Raw genomic sequence first — 19999 nt, 5'->3', positions numbered from 1 at the left:
TCCAGGCTGCAGTACAGGGGAGGGGGAACCCAACAGAGTCTGGGAATCTCATTAAGTTAAAGACAAATAGATTAGAAATTGGGGAGGCCAAGGCAGCCAGAGTTTGCAGGGCCATATACTAGAGAGAAGGGAGTTGCACAGAGAGAGCCCTAGAGATTTGCAGAGGATTGTCTACAGGCTTTAGCAGAGTGCTGCTCTGTGCGTACTAGAGGAGAAAATGTCCAAGACCAAGGAAAGAATTACTGGAAAGCAGTAGCCTGAAGAATTCCTAAAACTCACAGAGGGCTGGGAATAGTTTGTGTTTCCACCAGCCAAAGTGGGAAGACCTCATAACACATGGGATGTTGGGTATAGTTCTCAAAAGGATATTATTTTGGCAGTGGGGATAAATTATCCCTACATTAAATACTGCTCTTAACCCACCCCAACAAAATGTTTTCCAAGTAACACGAAAACAACTGATTCCAAGTAACTTAACTGCAAGGAAGAACAAGTTCCAATAATATTCAAAGAAATACAACAAAATACAGCACTGAAAAGCTCAAACCTCAGTGTCCAACATTAAACCAAAAATAGCTAGTCATGCAAAGAAGTAGTACAATATAGCCCATGTCTAGGAGAAAAATCAATCTATAGAAATTCACCCCAAAATGACTGAGATGATGAAATTGGCAGACAAAGACATTAAAAACACTACTATAAATATGCTTGGTATGCACCAGAAGACAAAGGAAAACATGAATATAATAAGGAGAGAAACAGAAGATACAAAAAGACCCAAACAGAAATATTAAAGATGAAAAATACAATATCTGAAATAAAAAGTGCACTAGATGCTATTAACAGCAGACTAGGCACTGTAGACTCAAAGGTTATATGAAGACATAGAAGTAGAAACTAACCCATGAATCACAGAGAAAAATGACTAAAGAAGGAGAAGAAAATGACAGAAGAGAAGAGGACCAGGAGAAGAGGAAAAGAAGAAAACTAAGGACAACAGCAACAGCAAAATCCAACAAAACAAATACAAAAATAACAATAAAGTTCCATGAGCTATTTGACAGTGGCAAGCAGTATAATATACATGCAATTACTTCTATTACAAGAAGGGAAAGAAGAAGCTAGAAAAAAATATGAGGAAATAATGGCAAAAAAATCTTCCAAATTTGATTCAAACAAACAAATTTACCTATAAACCCACAGATGTGAGACGTTCAAAGAACCCAAACAAAATAAATCTAAATAAAGCTACACTAAAGCATAGTACATTCCCATTATTGAAACTAATGCTAAAGAAAAAAGATGTTTAAAGCAACTAAAAAGTAAAACATATTATTAACAGAGAAACAAATGTAAGAATGGCAGTGGACTTATTGTGAGAAATTGTGCAAGCCAAAAACAGTGACATTTTTTAAGTACTGAAAGAAAAAATATGGATCTAAAATTCTATAACCAGCAAAAATGTCTTCTAAAAATGAAGCGTGACAAAATTGCTTTTAAAAATGAAAACCCAGACCAGTTGCGGTGACACACCTGTAATCCCAGCACTTTGGGAGGCCAAGGCAGGATTGAGCTCAGGAGTTCAAGGCCAGTCTGCGCAACATGGAGAAACCTTGCCTCTACAAATATTAGCAGGGCATGGTGGTGTGTGCCTGTAGTCCCAGCTACTCAGGAGGCTGAGGTAGAAGGATTGCTTGAGCTCAGGAGGTCAAGGCTGCAGTGAGCCAAGATCACATCAAAATCCAGCCTGGGAGACAGAGTGAGACCCTGTATCAAAAAAAAGAGAGGGAGACAGAGAATTCATTACCAGCAGACCCGTGTTAGAACAATGTTAAAGTTCTTCAAGTAAATGCAAAATACCAGGTAGACATTTAGATCCACACAAAGAAATGAAGTGTACTAGAAAACGAAAAATATGAGTAAATATAAGAAAAATTTTCTCATTTTAATTTCTTTAAAAATAGTTGACTTTAAAGCAAAAATAATTATTATTGTATTTATAAAAGTATATAGAAGTAAAATTACATGACAACAATAGCACACAGGGCTGGAGGGGAGATATGGATACGTGCTATTATAATGGTCACGAACAATTTGTAAATCAGTATAATGTTATTTGAAAGTAGACTGTGATAAGATAGCTATGTATATTGTAAACACTAAATCAGTCACTCAAAACAAAATAAAGCTGAAATTTCACAGAAGCCCCTTTGACCACATTTATGGCAATTCAAACATCAATAAAAATAATCACGGCAATGGCACATTGATTTAAAAAATATCACCAGGAAAGAGAGAGAGAAAGAAAGGAAAAGTTTTATTTTGTTTGTTGGCTTTTTTAAAAACCAAGTAAAGCCAATTAATATGTATAGAAGAAACAAAAAATGATAGACTTCAAAAATCATCACTTTGTGGCCAGGCGTGGTGGCTCATGCCTGTAATCCCTGCACTTTGGGAGGCTGAGGCAGGCAGATCACAAAGTCAGGAGTTCGAGACTAGCCTGGCCAACATGGTAAAACCCCATCTCTACTAAAAATACAAAAATTAGCTAGGCATGGTGGCGCATGCCTGTAATCTCAGCTACTTGGGAGGCTGAGGCAGGAGAATTGCTTGAACCCAGGAGGTGGAGGTTGCTGTGAGCCGAGATTGTGCCACTGCACTCCAGCCTGGGTGACAGAGCGAGACTCCGTCTGAAAAAAAAAAAAAAAAAAAATCAACATTTTGTAAACCTTAGTGGATAAATGATAAATGAATGATTTATACAAGGATAACTAAGAGATTCCAAATCTATTGGTTGAAAGGTTTTTGAGGAGCTGAATATTCATTAAGTTTCAAAATTTTACCCCACTGAATATTATTTATTAATTACAAAGAAAAGAAGTTCCTTTTGAATGGAGAGATCTGGCAGAAACCACCTTAAACAAGTAATCAAACCTGGTATCACTCCTGAGGGGACAAATTGGCATTATGTGCCACTCGATGAGATGCAATGAGACATACATCAACTTTGTAATATTCTTGCCACACTTTGAAAACCTGAATATAATCATGAGGAAAAAACAGGACAACTTCAAAATGTGAGATAGTCTCCAAAATAACTGTTCTGAATGTCAACATCAAGAGAGACAACAATAAACAAAATTTTAAAAAATACATGGGAATCGTTCTCTATTAAAGGATACTAAAGAGATATGACACCTAATTGCAATGTGGGCACCTTGACTGGGAAACTGAGGATCTCCAACTGTGTCTTCGTGTTGCTAAAAAGGAGTACCTGAGGCTGGGTAATTTACAAAGAAAAGAGGTTTATCTAGCTCCCGATGATGCAGGCTGTGCAAGAAGCATGCTCCAACATCTGCTTCTGGTGAGAGCTTCAGGCTGCTTCCACTCATGGTATAAGGCTAAGGGGAGCCCAGTTGTGCAGTCATTACACAATGAGAGAGGAAGCAGGGGTGGAGGGCACCAAGCTCTTTTTAACCACCAGCTCTCCTGGGAATCAATAGTGAGAATTCACTCACCCCGCCTCCAGGAAGGCATTAATCCATTCATGAGGGATCTGCCCCCATGACCCAAACACCTCCCATTAGGTCCCACCTCCAACACTGGGGATCAAATTTCCACAGGAGGTTAGGATGACAACATGCCAGCTATAGCAAAGTATAAACAGCTTGCCCAAGGTCACAAGCTTGTGAGAGGTAGAAACAGGAGACTAAGTTCGTTGTGATCATGTCCAAAGCCTGAGCCCTCTACTTTTTTGTCAGCATTCATGAATTTTCACAAGACCCCAAGTTTAGCTTGTTAAAAGTTATGGGAAAACTTGGAACAGTAATCTTCCGGAAATGCCACTTTCATAATTACTCTTCATTTCATTGGTTGAAGACAAAACAACAGGTATCCCAAATTTCAGGCAGCTTGTTCGTCTCAGACCACAAAAGTGACAGGTGATTGACTCCCTTCTAACGGGAAATTACAGGTAAATGGAGGCATTCTTTAGACCTAAAGATAGATCTAGAATATGAAGTCGCTCTCTCAGCCTCCAAGGTTCCAATCATAGGCACCTACATTTTAGAAACCAGGAAGGAAGTGAGTTAATGTGAAGCAGAGAAAGCAATAACACAAGAAGTAGAACATTTAACAGGAACAAAACGTGTCTGTAACCCCTGTCTCCATATTTAGCTCAGCTACCATCCATCATTTGCAGAGGAAAGCATGAAAAGCATCAGGTTTGTGTTGAAAGGGGAAAATGTGAGTGGCATACTTGGTAGCAAGGCTTGGAAGTGGGAGGCAGTGAAGAGCTATATATTATACCTGGAACTCAGGCATACTTGTGGCAGCTTCAAAAACAGATTTGAGAATAAGAAAGAGCTAAAATTTTAACATAAGCTGAAGCCTTTTGAAGTGTGAGTGAATGAAATGAGATGTGTGAACATGCACAGACCCAGTCCTTCTGTTCATCCCAGGAAGCTCCCAGCCTGCGGATCCTTAGATACCCGCAAAGGAAAAGACCTTCAGAATGAGGACACACTGTGGGCTTCCCTGTCTGAACAATGAGGCCACTAAGGAGATGTGTCAGCCTACTGTTTGGCCAGTTTTAGATCCCAAGTGATGGGGCTTCCTTGGGTCCATGATGGAGCAGCCTGTGCTGACAGGGACATCTTTAGACATTCACCGGCAGGCTCACAGTGTGATTAGATCTGCGAAACACATTTGGCTCTTTGTCTCTTCTTGATGGTTGGTTGCCTGTCGTTCTCAGCATTACTGCGGGAGCTTGGAAAAGCTAGAGCTGGCATCCCTGCAAGCTTTTCCTGTGGGGGCTTCATTTAGACTAAATCTCCCCTTGGAATTTCATTTCCTAGGGGATCCAAATTGGAAGCCAAGTTGTTAGATGCAAAATCATCCCAGTTCTCCAACATTTGGGCATTCTGTATAATTCTGACGAGAAGCCCGTGCAGGGAGCATAGAGGTAGCATATGGAGAACAAAGGCTCTGCATGTTCAGGAAATGGGAACATTCAATTCTTACATGTGCAATGCCTGATCCAAATATTAAGAATTGTGTTTCTTCCTGAAATTCAGTAGCCTCAGTTCTTGTGGAAAAGAATTTCATACACTATTCCCTTAATATAATTATTCCTTTGTTCATTTCTTAAAGCACTGAAGATAGTACTTTTAACTTTTCCTTATATTGCCTTCTGACTCCTCAGATAATTTCTGCTGTGCCCCAGTTGTTTTTCTATTGAGATTTCCCCAGCTGCAGGCATGGCAAGGCCATGCCATCCCCACTGTGCTTTCCTTAGAGACCATTTTGCTTTGGAAATGCGGAAATGGACACTTGCCCTTGGTCCCACGCACATGACTGATGAAGCTGGGAGCAGACTTCATAATTTCTGACTCCTGGAATTATTATCATCTCATTGCCCCACCTGCCTCAGAGGAGCTCCTTACCACCCCCTACCCCACTCCCCGACACTCCACAGAATATGCCTTCTGTTAGCTCCTGCTAATGAAAAACAAACAAACAAACAAACAAAACCGCACAGGTATTGAGGGTGTGATGATATTCATAGGAGGATAAATCCACTTCCAATTTCCCTCCCTCAGAACTTTGGCCTCCCTCCCAGGGGCAGATTCACAGCTGTCAGGGCTGTGGAACACAAGCAGTCCAGGAGGCTGAGCAATTGCACTCTCAACCAAGTCAGGCTGCCAGGCTGCCATATTTTTGTAACGTGCTGGGCTCTGTGAGGAGTTAAGTGAAGGGAATGCTTGCTTGCTGAAAGGGTAGGCGATTTGGACATTGTCGGCAGGTGATGAGCAGCATCCCCTAAAGGGGGTTGGGACTGCAGCATTTGAGCTTTCACCAAAGCTAGCAGAGGTCTTTGGAGTTTCTTTTGGCTACTGGAAATTCAAGTGTTATAAAGGGATTCAGATTGGGCTTGGTGGCTCATGCCTGCAATCCCAGCACTTTGGGAGGCCAAGGTGGGAGGATCCCTTGAGGCCAGGGTTTGAGAACAGCCAGGGCAACATAGTGAGACCCTGTCTCTACAAAAAGCAAACAACTTAGGTATGGTGTCATATGCCTGTAGGTCCCAGCTACTTAGGAGGCTGAGTGGGAGGATTGTTTGAGCCCAGGACGTAGAGGCTTCAGTGAGCTGTGACTGCACTCCAGCCCGGGCAACAGAGTGAGACCCTGTCTCTTATGAAAAAAAAAAAAAAAAAAAAAAGGATTCAGTTGAGAAGAAATATCCATTACCAGAAGAGTCTCCTTTCTCTTTACCTGGAGACAGAGGCTGTGAGAAGAAGCAAGAGGGATTCCATTGGGGACTCATAAAAAACAATGGCATATGAGAACATTCTCTTTTATACTCATGGTGGTGAAAGATAGGTGTCTTTTCAGTGAGAGGTTCAAGTCTTCCTGAGAGATGGGGGTAAAATTAGCTGCTCCTAGAAGTGGAAGCAGGGGTCATGAGTGAGAGCTGGGTGGTTACCTTTCAGGCAGAATTCTGGAGACTGTTTCACGCCGAGAGCAAGACCCACTGGAGTAGTGAGGCTTTGAGGGTTGGAGCATGGCAGCCACATGCTCCTAGCACGGTTCTGTTGGTGATGTGGGTCACTCACCACTTATGTTTGCTGAGAAAGGGTGCTCTTCAAACAACAAAAAGTGATCTGACAGAGCATCACTTTAGTTGATCGGGACCCAGTAATCTTCCTTTCCCTCTCATTCTTCCTTCCTTATCTTTTGGGTTCTTTTGAGAACCCTCTGACTCAGTGGTCCTTGACCTTGGTCATATATTAAAATCATTTGGAACATTAAAAAAATACTGATGTCCAACTCTCACCTGCGGAAATTCCTAATTCTTTTCAGTTGAGTCTGGGCAGCAGTATTTTTTAAGGCCCCCCAGGTGATTCTAATCCACATCCATGATTGAGTATTGCTCCTAGTCATTCATACTGCAAACCAAATACAGATTTAAAGCTTAGGAGAATCCTTTTCAGCATGATTCTGTAGGTCCATGTATATCTGCATGAACAAAAGATTCTGATCAGTAAGACCATCCCAATTGGCTTTAGTAGCTTTCTTCACTAGAGTTTTCTTGACCAGATGCAGTTTGCATTCTGTTCAGAAGCCTTGCCACAACTCTATGAACACTTTTAACAAATATCAAATATACAAGAAGCTCTGAAATCTACTGGCTTATAAGGTGACTTGCCATCTTGATGTTTCTGATTGGAAGCTTTTTACAAGGACCATTTAGGATTCATGCTGCCTCTTTACTAGTGAAAATGTAGGCTGAAGGTTACCAAACACATCCAGAAAGAATTTCCTTTGGCTCAAGATTTCAGTCCTTTTCTTACTCTCTCATTTGCTCAAGATTTCTTGGGACTCATTATAGGATGGAACAATTCCACTCCCACATTCTCACTTGGCATTTAAATCCTAGGTTGTCATCGAGACATATCCTAATCACTAATGCATGCAACAAGCACACCAGTATTGTTTTTTTTTCCCTTTCTCCTTGTTGTGTGGTGAATAGAAAATGTACAGTTGGGGAATCAATCAACCTCAGTTCTAGTTCCAACTGTAGCTAAATAGCTATGTGACTGTGGGACAATCTTCATTTCTTCATGAGTTTCTTACTTGTAAAACAAAGGAGTTGGACTAGAATCTCTGGTTTTCAACCATTGTTGTTTTCTTTTTGTTGCTTAAAGTGAGAGTGCCCTTTCTTCAAAAACATTCTTTCTGTAAAAGTCAACATGTAAAACTGATGGTCAGAAAGCTGAATTGTTGTGGGGCTTTGGGGTCCCTGAAATCTTCTGAGTTTCCTCATTTTCTCCTCCTAAAGCTACTCTGCCCTTAAAGGGGTTCTGTAGGACCCCTAGGACAAGACAAAGAAGATCTAAAAAATACGGGCTAATTAGTTAAGGTATTTTCTGCTGTATCATTCTCCGAGTTTACATGCATCCACACATGAACATATGTGTGCACATGAACATATATCCACAGGCACACAGAGTTTGATTGATTGGGCTCAAGAGGTAGCAGATACGGTCAGACTAGGAGGGATCAGGATTTGGAAACTAGGCATATTCACTACAAAGAGAGGGGTTCTTGGAGCAGGCCCTTGGAAATGCATTGTGCCTGCTTCTAGGGACAGCAGGGAGTAAAATGCACTATGCCATCCATAGTTTGGCAACTGGCAGGTGCTCAATGGTCTGCTGGCTCAAAAACTTGTAGCAGATGACATCCCAAAGTGGTGACTTCATGACTGGAATTCTGGGATAGCATCCTGGAGAAAGATCTGTGAGGAAGCAGGCTTGAGACAGCTGGTTACTCAGGAAGTCCATGATCAATGGAAGTTCACTGCCATTGGAAGAACCATTCCTCAGGTCTCACATATCCCACACAGACTGGTAACTTCCAAGTAAGTTATACATCCTTTATAAATAGCAATGATACATAGCATGTCTCATCATCTCCCCTGGACCTTCAGGATATTTCCATGATTTTAAATGCTTATCTGAGGGACAGCTGCTTAGCTATCAATTGATACTGTTGTCTCAAAAAAGATTTCATAGGATTTTCTTTACCCCATAAGAATGCCCATTCCCAATTCAGAGGGGATTTCAAAAAATAAGGAAATGACTTGGGGTTAGACATCCATTTCCTTAACACAGACATATTTAACTTTAAGCTTGCTGAATCTTAGATATTGGTCTAATATGTCTGGGATCCTCCTAACTCCAAGTGAAGAGGCCTAAAATTTCTCTATTTTTACTGGAAAAAAAGAGAGAGTTTGACTTTCAATGCCATACTTTTTTTTTTCTTCTTTTTTTTGAGACAAAGTCTTGCTCTGTTGCCCAGGCTGGAGTGCAGTGGTGTGATCTCGGCTCACTGCTACCTCTGCCTCCCAGGTCCCGGTTCAAGCAATTCTCCTTCCTCAGCCTCCCAAGTAGCTGGGATTACAGGCACATGCCACCATGCCCAGCTAATTTTTGTATTTTTAGTAGAGACAGCATTTCTCCATGTTGGCCAGGCTGGTCTTGAACTCCTGAACTCGTGATCCACCCTACACGGCCTCCCAAAGTGCTGGGATTACAGGCGTGAGGCACCGCGCCTGGCCCACCATACTCTTAAATAAAATCAAAAGCCATCTCGAGACTATTTCTTTTGGAACCTTCCTATGCATCAGGCTGCATAGTCTGCAGAGTGATCCGTGCCATTCACGTGATGAAACCATTGATAACTGGCGTTATTCAAATAAGTGAGATATCAGTCAACACTGTTTAATATGGTGTTTAGCACCCTTAAAAACAATTAAACCCAATGGATTTCAGGCCAAAACAACAGTCTTGGAAGATCACTTTAGTTAGGGCCCAAATAACTGAATTGAAGTCAAGAAAAGGCTGGCCTGCCAAGAAGTAACAGGTGATTATGTAGGAATACGATTTGAAGGGCTCTGACCTTCCAGTGGCAACACTGTGTGAGTTTGTTTTCTGTACCCAGGGGACCGAGTGTCAGGATCCTCACTGTTGAGTGCTGGATAGAATGGGGGTGGCAGGGAGTGTACCATTATTTTGGTATGCTCTCTCTTAGTAGTTGTAAAGGGGAGATGGTAGTTAATGACTTCCTACTGGGATATTGGTTGCATTAGGCTTCCATCAGCCATTGTGGAAACACTAAATGGGGTGTGAATGAGGTAGGTAGGCTAATGAGGGGGATGAATAAGATACATGGTAGTGCTGCACAGGGCAGAAGACGAACTTGGGTTAAGCTCAGGCTAATTTCTAGCAATTGTCTTGACCCTTAGTCTTAATAATTTGATGAAGGACATCCTTGTGCTGAATGTTGGTAAAGAGACAAAGGAAATGGCAGAGGCCAGGTGCAGTAGCTCACACCTATAATCCCAGCACTTCGGGAGGCCGTGGCAGGAAGGTTGCTGGAGCCCAGGAGTTTGAGACCAGCCTGGGGCAACAGGGCAAGACCCCATCTCTACAAAAAAATTTTTAAAAAAGCTCAACATCACTGATTATTGGAAAAATGAAAATCAAAACCATAATGAGATACCATCTCACACCAGTCAAAAAGGCTATTATTAAAAGGTCAAAAAATAAGAGATGCCAGCAAGTTTGTAGAGAAAAAGGAATGCTTATACACTGTTGGTAGGGGTGTAAATTAGTACAATCATTGTAGAAGACAGTGTGGCATTTCCTCAAAGACCTAAAAACAGAAATATCATTCAACCGAGCAATCCCTATTACTGGGTATATACCCAAAGGAATATAAATCATTCGATTGTAAAGACACATGGATGCATATGCTTACTGCAGCCCTATTCACAATAGGAAAGACATGGAATCAATCCAAGTGCCTGTCAATGATAGACTGCATAAAGAAAATGTGATACATATACACCACGGAATACTATACAGCCATAAAAAGAATGAGATCATGTCCTTTGCAGGGACATGGATGGAGCTGGAGGCCATTATCCTTAGCAAACTAATGCAGGAACAGAAAACCAAATACTGCATGTTCTCACTTATAAGTGGAATCTAAATAATGAGAACACATGGACACATAGAGTGGAACAACACACACTGGGGCCTATTGGAGGGTGGAAAGTGGGATGAGGGAGAGAATCAGGAAAAATAACTAATGGATACTGTGTTTAATGCCTGGGTGATGAAATAATCTGTACAATAAACCCTTATGAGATACGTTTTCCTGTGTAAAAATCCTGCACATCCTGCACATGTTTCCCTGAATTTAACATAAAAGTAAAAAAAAAAATCAGTTTTTTTCCTAGAAGTGCCTTTACTTACCTTTTACTGGTAAAGAATATTTTCACTATTATTGAATTCTTGGTAGATCTGGCACTTTAAAACACTTTAAACATATTAGTATGTTATCTTCTGATTACTTGTTTCTCTAGAGGAGTCAGCTGTCAGTGTCATTGATCCTTTGAAAATAAGGTTCCCATCTTATCTAGCAACTTTTAATGTTGTGTGACCATCACAACTATTTTCAAAACTTTTCCGTCATCGCAGACAGAAACTCCATATCCATTAAGCAATAAATTCCCATTACAGCCTTTCCCCAGCTTCTGGTAATCTCTATTCTATCTGCTGTCTCTATAATTTTGTCTATTGTAGGAATTTTATATAAATGGAATAATAATATTTACTTTTTTGTGACTGACTTCTTTCACTTAGCATGTTTTCATGGTTCATATGTGATGTAGCACGTATTAGAACTTCATTCCTTTTATGGCTGATTGACATTCCATTGTATGGATATATTGTCTTGTTTATCCATTCATCTGTTGGTGGACATTTAGGTTGTTTTACCTTTTGGCTATTGTGAATAATCCTGCAATGAATATTGGCATACAAGTATCCATTTGAGTCCTTGTTTTTAATATTTTGGGTATATACCTAGGAGAAAAATTGCTGGATAATATGATATTCTATGTTAACTTCAGGAGAAACAGCTGAACTGTTTTCTACAGTGGCTGCTTCATTTTATACTCCCACCAAAAATATGAGGTTTCCTAAATTCTGAAGTGTGGTATCACTGAAATCTCTGTCCCTTAGTTTGTGTCCCATTGGCAATTTGACAAAGATTTCCTTGAATGCCAGGAAGTTTTAAAAGTTGCCTTTTTCTTAATTCCACATTTTCTTAAGTTGCTGCAAATCATGACTCTTTCTCAACATTCTTATATATTTGGTTCTGATAGTTTTTGCTGTTTTTTTTGATGTTTTTTTGGGGGTACTGGATCTTGGAGCTGCCTACTCCGCCATTTTGCTGACATCATTCCCAAGAAACTCTTTTTCTTGTTTTTAGCAGTGGGGTGCCTAGGTATGGTTTTCTTAGTATTTCTCCAATTTGGTTTTTATAATGCTCCTTGAATCAATCTGTGGCTCAAGTCCTTCATTGGGTTTGATAAATACTAAGCCATTATACCTTCAAATAGTGTTTCTTCCTCATTGTCATTCTCTCCTTGCCTCTGGAGTTCCAGTTACATGAATTAAAGCTTTCTCCTGTTCCCATTTGAGTCCTTTGCTCTTTATTGGTCAGTGTTCTCCAGAGAAACACAACCAATAGGGTGTCTGTATGTGTGAGTGTATACATTGTTCTGAAGTTCTGACAGTTGCATCGACTTCTGGTTCACTCCTCATTGGGGTGTAGCCCCCAGAAGTCTCAGCTGAGATCCTGGAGTATTGACTGGGGCTTCTCCACCTTGACAGGTTCTGAACTCCAATTTTTGCCACTTCAACTCTGTGAGAAGGTCAAAAACTCTGCTCTGATTTTCTGTGACTTCCTGCTCTGCTTCTTGTCTTATGCAGCTTAAGAAAAAATCAGCAAATGCCTCTTGGAGAAAATGAGTATATCTAGTCTACTTCCTCCTGCTACCCTTCTCTCCTGGATTCTGTTCCCTTAAGTCTTGGATACTTTGGCAACTGCCCCCCCGTCCCCCTCCCCCCACCATCCCATCTTACTATTTTTGTTTTGTTTTCTCTTTTGTGTGTTTTTTTTTGTCTACAGCCGTGTGAGATTTCTATAAGCTCTGTTTATTTCTCTGTTTATTAGCTCAGTCCTGTAAAGTGGATTCTTAACTTCTGGTTTCAAGCCAAAATCTGTCAATTGCTCTAAGGGGAAAACCTGCTTGTAGAATATCAGCTCAGCTCTCTGTTTCTCCTTTTTCTCTTCTCTCCAGGATGTTGGTTCGTCAAATCCTGGTTGCCTCAGTCTCTTTCCAATGCCTTCAAGTAGAGGGTTGTTGTTCCTGACTTTTTTAAAAAATATTTTATCTGGCTTTTCTGTTTGTTCTTAATAATTGGTTTGGTGCAAACCATTTCATCTTCTAGAAGTAAAAGTCTAATACATGATTTTGAAGATATCACTCAACACATCTTCACTGTTTCTTGGTCAGTTATCTGAAGAAAATATTAGCCCCTTGCCTTTATCTTCCCATGCTCTAGCCCCTTCCAGGGAATTCGTAATGTGTTTGCTAAACTTCAGAAATAGAAGAAAAATTATGACCTTGAGATGTGCATTAGAAATACTGAAATTTGGGGAAAATAATAACTCCAAAGAAAATTTTGTGCATGGTTACTACAGGTATCAGTCATCCTTATAACAAAGTTATTATTAATGTTTGTTCTTCTCTTATTTTAGTATGCCAAGGCTTTCTCAGCTTCCCTTAATGAAATATTTTACATCAAGGCCTTTGATATTTAATCTGGATGTGTTTGAAGTCTGATTACACTTAGTCTAGCACCTGTAAATTTTGTAATTTATTTTTAATCTCTCCTACTTATAATTTCTACATTTCATTCAGATATTATTAAGGCAAATTATAGGTAGTCATATTTCCTGATGTTGAGTTGGCATACAGCTTTCTGTTTCGTTTTGGTTTTGTTTGCTGGTATCATTGTTCCTGAATTTCACTCTGTATTAGTCTGACTATAGAGGTTGGCCTTGTCCAATATTTTAGAAGGAAGTTTGTGTCTTCTTGCTTGCAATTCTCTGCCTGTTTTATTACTTGTAACCCTGAGGAATCCTGGAAGAATGAGTACTAAGCACAGGAACAGAATGCAGGTTTTCTTACATTTCGGCCCGAACTCTAAATCAGAAAAATGAAAGGCCAGATCCCAGATGGATTGCTTTCTCTTTTATTTCTTGCATTAGAACAATCTCCGCAAGAAGTGACCTACTTTCTCACAAGGCATTTACTGTCATATTTTGACCCATCTACAGGTATACTGCCCATAATGCTAGTGATTCTTCTGAGCCTGGGAACATAACTCAAAACCAAACCCAAACAAAAACCCTAAACTCATTGTCTTATCACCTCTCGTGTTTTTTAAATCCACTGCCACAGCATATAAACAGTAATTGTATCATATTAATTATATACCTACGTAAGTGATAAAATGTCATAAGTATTGATCACTACACCAATGAGCTAAGGTGGGCTCCTTAGCGAAAACAGCATTGTTCCTGCTGGATAGCAAAACTTAAGTGACTAGAACCAGAAAAAATGAATTCACTGTATTTTATTCTTGGTTGTTCTTGTAGCAGACAATGCAATCATACTATTATTACTAATTCTTTGCTGAAAGTCCTCCAGCCACCTGAACGGAGCTCCAGACATTGTAATGTGATTCACAAGGAAATCATAACATCATGGCAACTACACAGCAAATTGGAGAAATTAAGACTGGCCAATGAAATTGCAAGATGGAGCAGAATTAAGGCAGCTAAAAGGAAGGTAAGAAAGGAGAGAGTTGAGGAATTATTCCCCAGCAGCCATTGCAGTAGAAAACCTCTGTGAAATAATTATTTTGATGTAAAGAGTGGAGGGTGGGCCAGGAACTATAGAAGAGGAAACATCTGAGGGCTAACTACCTTGATACAGCAAATACACCAATGTGCATGGCACTAGGATACTAGGAAAACATTTTTAGGAAGCACTGATAAAACTAAAGTAACTTGTGATCCTCAATTGTGACATGTGCCTTCAGGCCATGTTGGTATTCCTACCCTTCCAGGCCTCTCAGGATGCCGTATCACAAGATAAATTTAATTACTGACTGCTTAAGCCACACTTAAAAATGAGGAAGAGGTTTGTTAGTTCCCTATTCGTCTACCCCAGAGAGGGAAGCTGGTGGTCCTCTCTGCATACTGCTATGGGAAGCCCAAATTTGAGGTGGGGGCATGGACTCATAAACTCATAGTGGACCCACCGGTTACTAATAAATTTTATTTTACACTTCTTTTTGGCTTTGACTATATTTCATACTAAAGAAACATAGGAAATAATGAGTGAACCAAGAGCCCCTGGACCAAGGAGCGGTGAAGATGTTCTGGCATTCACCACCTCTCACTCTGTGAGTTTGGGCAAGTCATTTAGACTTTCCAACCTCATTTTTTTCATGTAATGAATGGAAATAATAATCCTTAATTGAGGGATTAAATGAGATAGTGAATCTCAGGTGACTGGCACATAATAGTTGCTCAGTAAATAGTAGCAATTTTTATTAACTCAATTTTTTTACAATTAAAATAAAGATAAGTAATAAAAGAACACAAAGCTGTTTTTTTTTTTGATGCCATATTCAAGGGCTGGGGCAAAGAAAATTCACTTTTGTAATATTTGGGAGAAGGTGTGAAATGAAACTCGAATGACAAGAGAAAGTTTCAATTACCTTGACATTTGCTTTAAACACTCTTGATCAAATTTGGACAAGTGTAACCACTTCATACCAGAATGGCATTGGATCTAGTTTTCTCCACTTGAAAGTTTGATGACTGGGCCCTGCATAATTCCCAAATGCCACAATATGGGCTGCAGACAGGTTCTCCAGCCTTAATTGTGAGTTGACATTAACCAAGTCGCCCTGACTCCAAATGATCTCAAAGAATTCCAGTATTCCTTTATGTCTTTCAGACTCTAGAAAACAAAATGTTTAACTCTGCATTGTGCTTATTTCCTTTGTAATCAAAAAGAACATTGCTGTTAAAGGTTAACAGTTTGCATTGGAAATGAGCTCAGGGTTAAAATTAATATGTAACAGTCCATGTTTTTCCCAGTCAGTAGCAACAGATATTCCTAAGTCGTTTGGATAATGTTGGTCTTTTACATTTTTTCTTTTTTTTTTTTCAAACTTTCTCATGTTGAATCTCTTCAGGAAATAGCAGCAAGTCCCATTTGATGACACAATGACCTTATCTTTTTCATAGATGTTGTGACAGTTGCCTGTTGAGAGGGTAACTGCCAATTAAGAGGTGGGTATTTGATAATTTCTTATCTAATGTGGCTCTAAGAAGAAAAGGTCCTTGAACTACCTGTTCCTTCTTTTAGGCCTATATGAGTTTCCCACCTCCACCATAACAAATCACCACAAATGTAGTGGCTTAACACAACACAAATTCATTATCTTACAGTTCTAGATGTCGGAAGCCCCACACAGCTCTCACTGGGGTAAAAGCAAGGTGACTGGAGGGCTGCCTTCTTTCCAGAGGCTCTAGGGGACAATCATTCTCTTGCCTTTTCTGGCTTCCAGAAGCTGTCTTTATTCCTTGGCTCACATTCTCTTTCTTCATCTTCAAAGCCAGCAGTGTTGCCTTGTCTTAGCCACCTCTCTCTGATCACAGCTAGGAAAGTTACTCTGATAGTTAAGGACCCATGTGAATACATTGACCCCACCTGAATAATCCAGTATACGCTCCTCAACTCTGGATCCTTAACTTATCACAGCTGCAATGTCCCCTTTGCCAGGTAAGGTCACATATTCACAGGGTTCCGGGAATTAGAACGTGTGTGTGTGTGCGTGCGCGCGCATGTTGCGGGGGGTGGGGGGGAGGTCATTATTGTGTCTTACTTGAAAGAAAAATGTAATTATAACTTTTGGGGAAAACTTCTAAATATTGTCTGCACCCCTTGAACAGGTACATCAGTTTTCCACCAGACGGGTTTGGAGATGGCTTGTTACAACACGTCAGTAAGTCCTTGACTGAATGCTGTCAACAGAGGAGCTCAGCCTTTCCATGTCATGCACCACCCTGCAGGAAGTGGGGCTTTCCACCACACTCAAGACGTTATCAAGGGCACTAAATTGCCCCCAAGGATCCTGGAGAGCATGAAGGAATGTGAATGAATTGGAAAAGGCATAGAAAGTGGAGTCTTACCCAAGAAAGACCCTGAACAGTCTGGGCAGGTAAGGCAGCTCAGCCTGACTCAGAGATGGCCTCTCTTGAGAGAGACAGGTTTGCCAGAATTGATAAATATCTTGTGTCTGGCAATCTGAGCATGAATATAACAGAAACAGGACAATGTAGCTCTGATTGGATTAGAGAACTGGAGGCAGCTGCAGGAGTCACACAGACAGTAGAGACAGTGAAAAACAGCCCCCTGCCAGGCAGTGTCACTGTGTGTGGCGGTGCCAGGGCGCCTGAGTCTGTCTCTGGGAGGCTGAGGTAATGGCCCCTTCTCCTCAGAGCCCCGGAGGCTGACTGTGAGCTTCTAGGCCCAGACGTGACTGCTCTCTTCATGGGAAGTACAATGTTGAGTGTGTTCCAGGATTTGTCCTGTGCTGGTTTCCCGGGCACATTTTCTTATGCTGCAAATGAGGAAGCGAAGGAGTAGGGAGAGCAGCTGGGGGAGGGAGGAGGCGTGAGGAAAGGGGAAGTTGAAAAGGTGATGGGTTTCCTGGAGTGGGTTAGGCCACGTTCATGGCCCTTCTGTCTCTGACCACTTACAGTAACAGAGACCATTTCCAGAAGCCAGAGGAGTTTGAACAGTCTTGAGGGAGGAAGCAGGTCAGTAACGATGATGAAGAAAATAATATGACTGAAAACAGAGCACAGAGGAATGACAAAGACGTTGCACCTTTTTTTTTTTTTTTTAATTTAAATATTTCACCTCGGCCTCCCAAAGTGCTGGGATTACAGGCCTGGGTCACCACAACCAGCCGCAACTCTTGATCTTGGAAAAATGGAGGCAGCTTCATTGTCAGAGAAGGTCTGGACTTGCTGTTATTTTTTATAGCTGTTGAAATTATTAGGGCCAAATTAATGAATGGAAATACAGAGATATGAGGAAGTTGCCAATAAGCGGTTATATGAAGGCTTCTGGAAGTGAACTGATGTGGTAATCACTTATAATGTATATGTATATCAAATCATCACGTTGCACACCTTGAAAATACACAATTTTTATTTGTCAATCATGTCTCAATAAAGCTGGAGAAAAAAATAAAGTAAACCAGTCTGAATGGCCACGATTTGTGCTTTTGGAAGAAATACATTAAAGCAGATATGCAAGTATTATGGTTTTTGTTGTCATTGTTATTTATAGCAGTCACAATTCATGGCACTGTGGTGAAAACTATAGGCTTTGGATTCAAATGGCCTGTATCGAAATCCCAGCTTGACCATTTATTAATAGTATGACTTTGGGAGACCACTCCAAACCTTGCTTTACTCATCCAAAAAATGGGGATAATACAATACTTATGTTGTAGAGTTGACAAGATTAAATAAGATGATGTGGTTAAAATGATTGGTGCAATGTCTGCACCTTGATACTAAAAAATGTTGGCCTCTATTTTTAAAAATTGTTATTTAGTGGATAAGTATTTTACAAATTTACTCTCATTAGGCTACTATTTATATGTACACCCTGAGCTGAATGAGTTTATCAGACCAGTACCCTTTTGTCAGGGCACTGATAACAGGAAACATAATAGGGAAATTTGGTGACGCGTAAGAGGATGGAGAGACCCATCCCAAGTAGGGGACACTAATCAGGAGAAGTTCGATGATAGGTCCTGGGGGTTGTATTATGAGGCACTGAATACTTGAGGGTATAGTACATAGCCTATTTTACTCTTTTGCTTATTCTAAGTGTATCAAGGATACAACAGAGACAGCTGTCTATAACTTCAAAGTGTACCAAAATTCTGTTTTCCAAGGTATTGAATCTAATTGTGTTTGTTTCTAAAATAAAAATGGATCCCAGTCAAGGAATCCTATTAAATAGCTCCACAACCTCTGGCACCCTTGATCTGTAAGATGCATGCATAGGGCAAAATGATCTCTAATATCCCCTGTGACTTACATTCTGTGACTCTAAAATAATGCTAGGGCCAATGTTATGTATTTCTTTTTATAGGCATTCTCTTTGTCTGGGGAGAGCAAGACCATATGCCAGAAGCATTGTGTAAGTCAGGTCAATTAAGAAGGATTGCTCCTTCGGCCTTGGGTTTGCTTCAGCAAATCTTTAGAGCTGGCTTTTTATTTATAACTCTGTAGAGGACCAAAACAACTCTGCATCTGACTAGGGTGTGGAGGAGCAAAACATAGCTCTATGCATTCCCAAATCATGAATTTTTCTCCTTGACGTACGTGCCATCACAGACAGTGCAGCTGCATGTCATAGATTTTTAAGGCTTGATTACAAACAACCTCCGACAGACTTCCCTGGGAGGATGATGAGGAAGTTGTCCCCGGCACGCAGCTGATCCTTCTCCTCCTTGGAACTGAGGCTACAGCGTTGAAGGGCAAAGATGAGCACCAGTCCTGGCACCTAGGGAAGAATGGGATGAGTTTAGGGTTGGGGTAAAAATCTAGAGCATTCATAATCAATTCTCTCATATATTGGGTTTGATGTATTTTTTTCCTAGCGGTCCTTAACATTCCTCATTTCTACCTGTCAAGAAATGCTAGAACTTGGGGCTGGATTTTCTGCAGCATTCAGGCCATCATTATATTCTGTTCATTTGGTTGCTTGAATTTGGACTGTCCCCCAGTCTCATGCTCCAATGCCCTCAGGTTTTGTCCTTTGATTTCCAGGACCTTAGACAGTGGTCTCTATGCTTACTGGTTCAGATTGAATTAGGGTCTTATAATCTACCCTCCAATCTCCCCACACCCACCCCAAATTTCACTCATAAAGTCAGTTAATAACCCCCAGGACTAGAACAAGTGCTCCTCGTAAATGGTCCCATGGTAACCTGTGCTTGTGCCTTTTGAAATACTTCTTGTGTGTGTCAATGTCTTCCTTTACAGAAAAAACTTCTTGAAGACAGGAACTGAAACTGATTCTAATTGTATCCCTAGTGTCCAGCACATATTAGAGACAAAATATATTTGCAGAATGACTGAATGACTAAATCTCCTGTCAGATACCAGACACGAAAACATGAGCTAATCACCTGATCATTTGGTCCATAGTGATTCCTACCCTGGTCCAGCTTTTGGGTCACGGTGAACAAAGCTACCATCATCCTTGATGCTCGTGAAAGAAACCTCAGCGTAATCATGATTCTTTGCTCTGCTTTGTATACACACTTCATGCAGCTGGTTTTTCCTCTTGAACTTCTTGCATATTATGTGAAGACAAGCACTTGTATTTTTAGAATGTCTGTACCATTCATTTAGACCCTTTCCTCAAGTGGAAATATGGCACTGAATGACTCAGTTGCAATTAGTCCCC

At 40.6% G+C, this 19999-nt stretch overlaps 1 annotated feature.

Annotated features, from left to right (window-relative positions):
- Window positions 17023–17252: an enhancer, noted in NCBI's record as "active region_25178". NCBI's record gives its function as "activates an Ori minimal core promoter by ATAC-STARR-seq in GM12878 lymphoblastoid cells {active_cell/tissue: GM12878}" and the evidence as "EXISTENCE:reporter gene assay evidence [ECO:0000049][PMID:35858748]".

The sequence above is a fragment of the Homo sapiens genome, chromosome 6 (assembly GCF_000001405.40).
Source record: "Homo sapiens chromosome 6, GRCh38.p14 Primary Assembly".
NCBI classification, from domain to species: Eukaryota; Metazoa; Chordata; class Mammalia; order Primates; family Hominidae; genus Homo; species Homo sapiens.
This window is presented reverse-complemented; position numbering and strand designations above follow the sequence as displayed.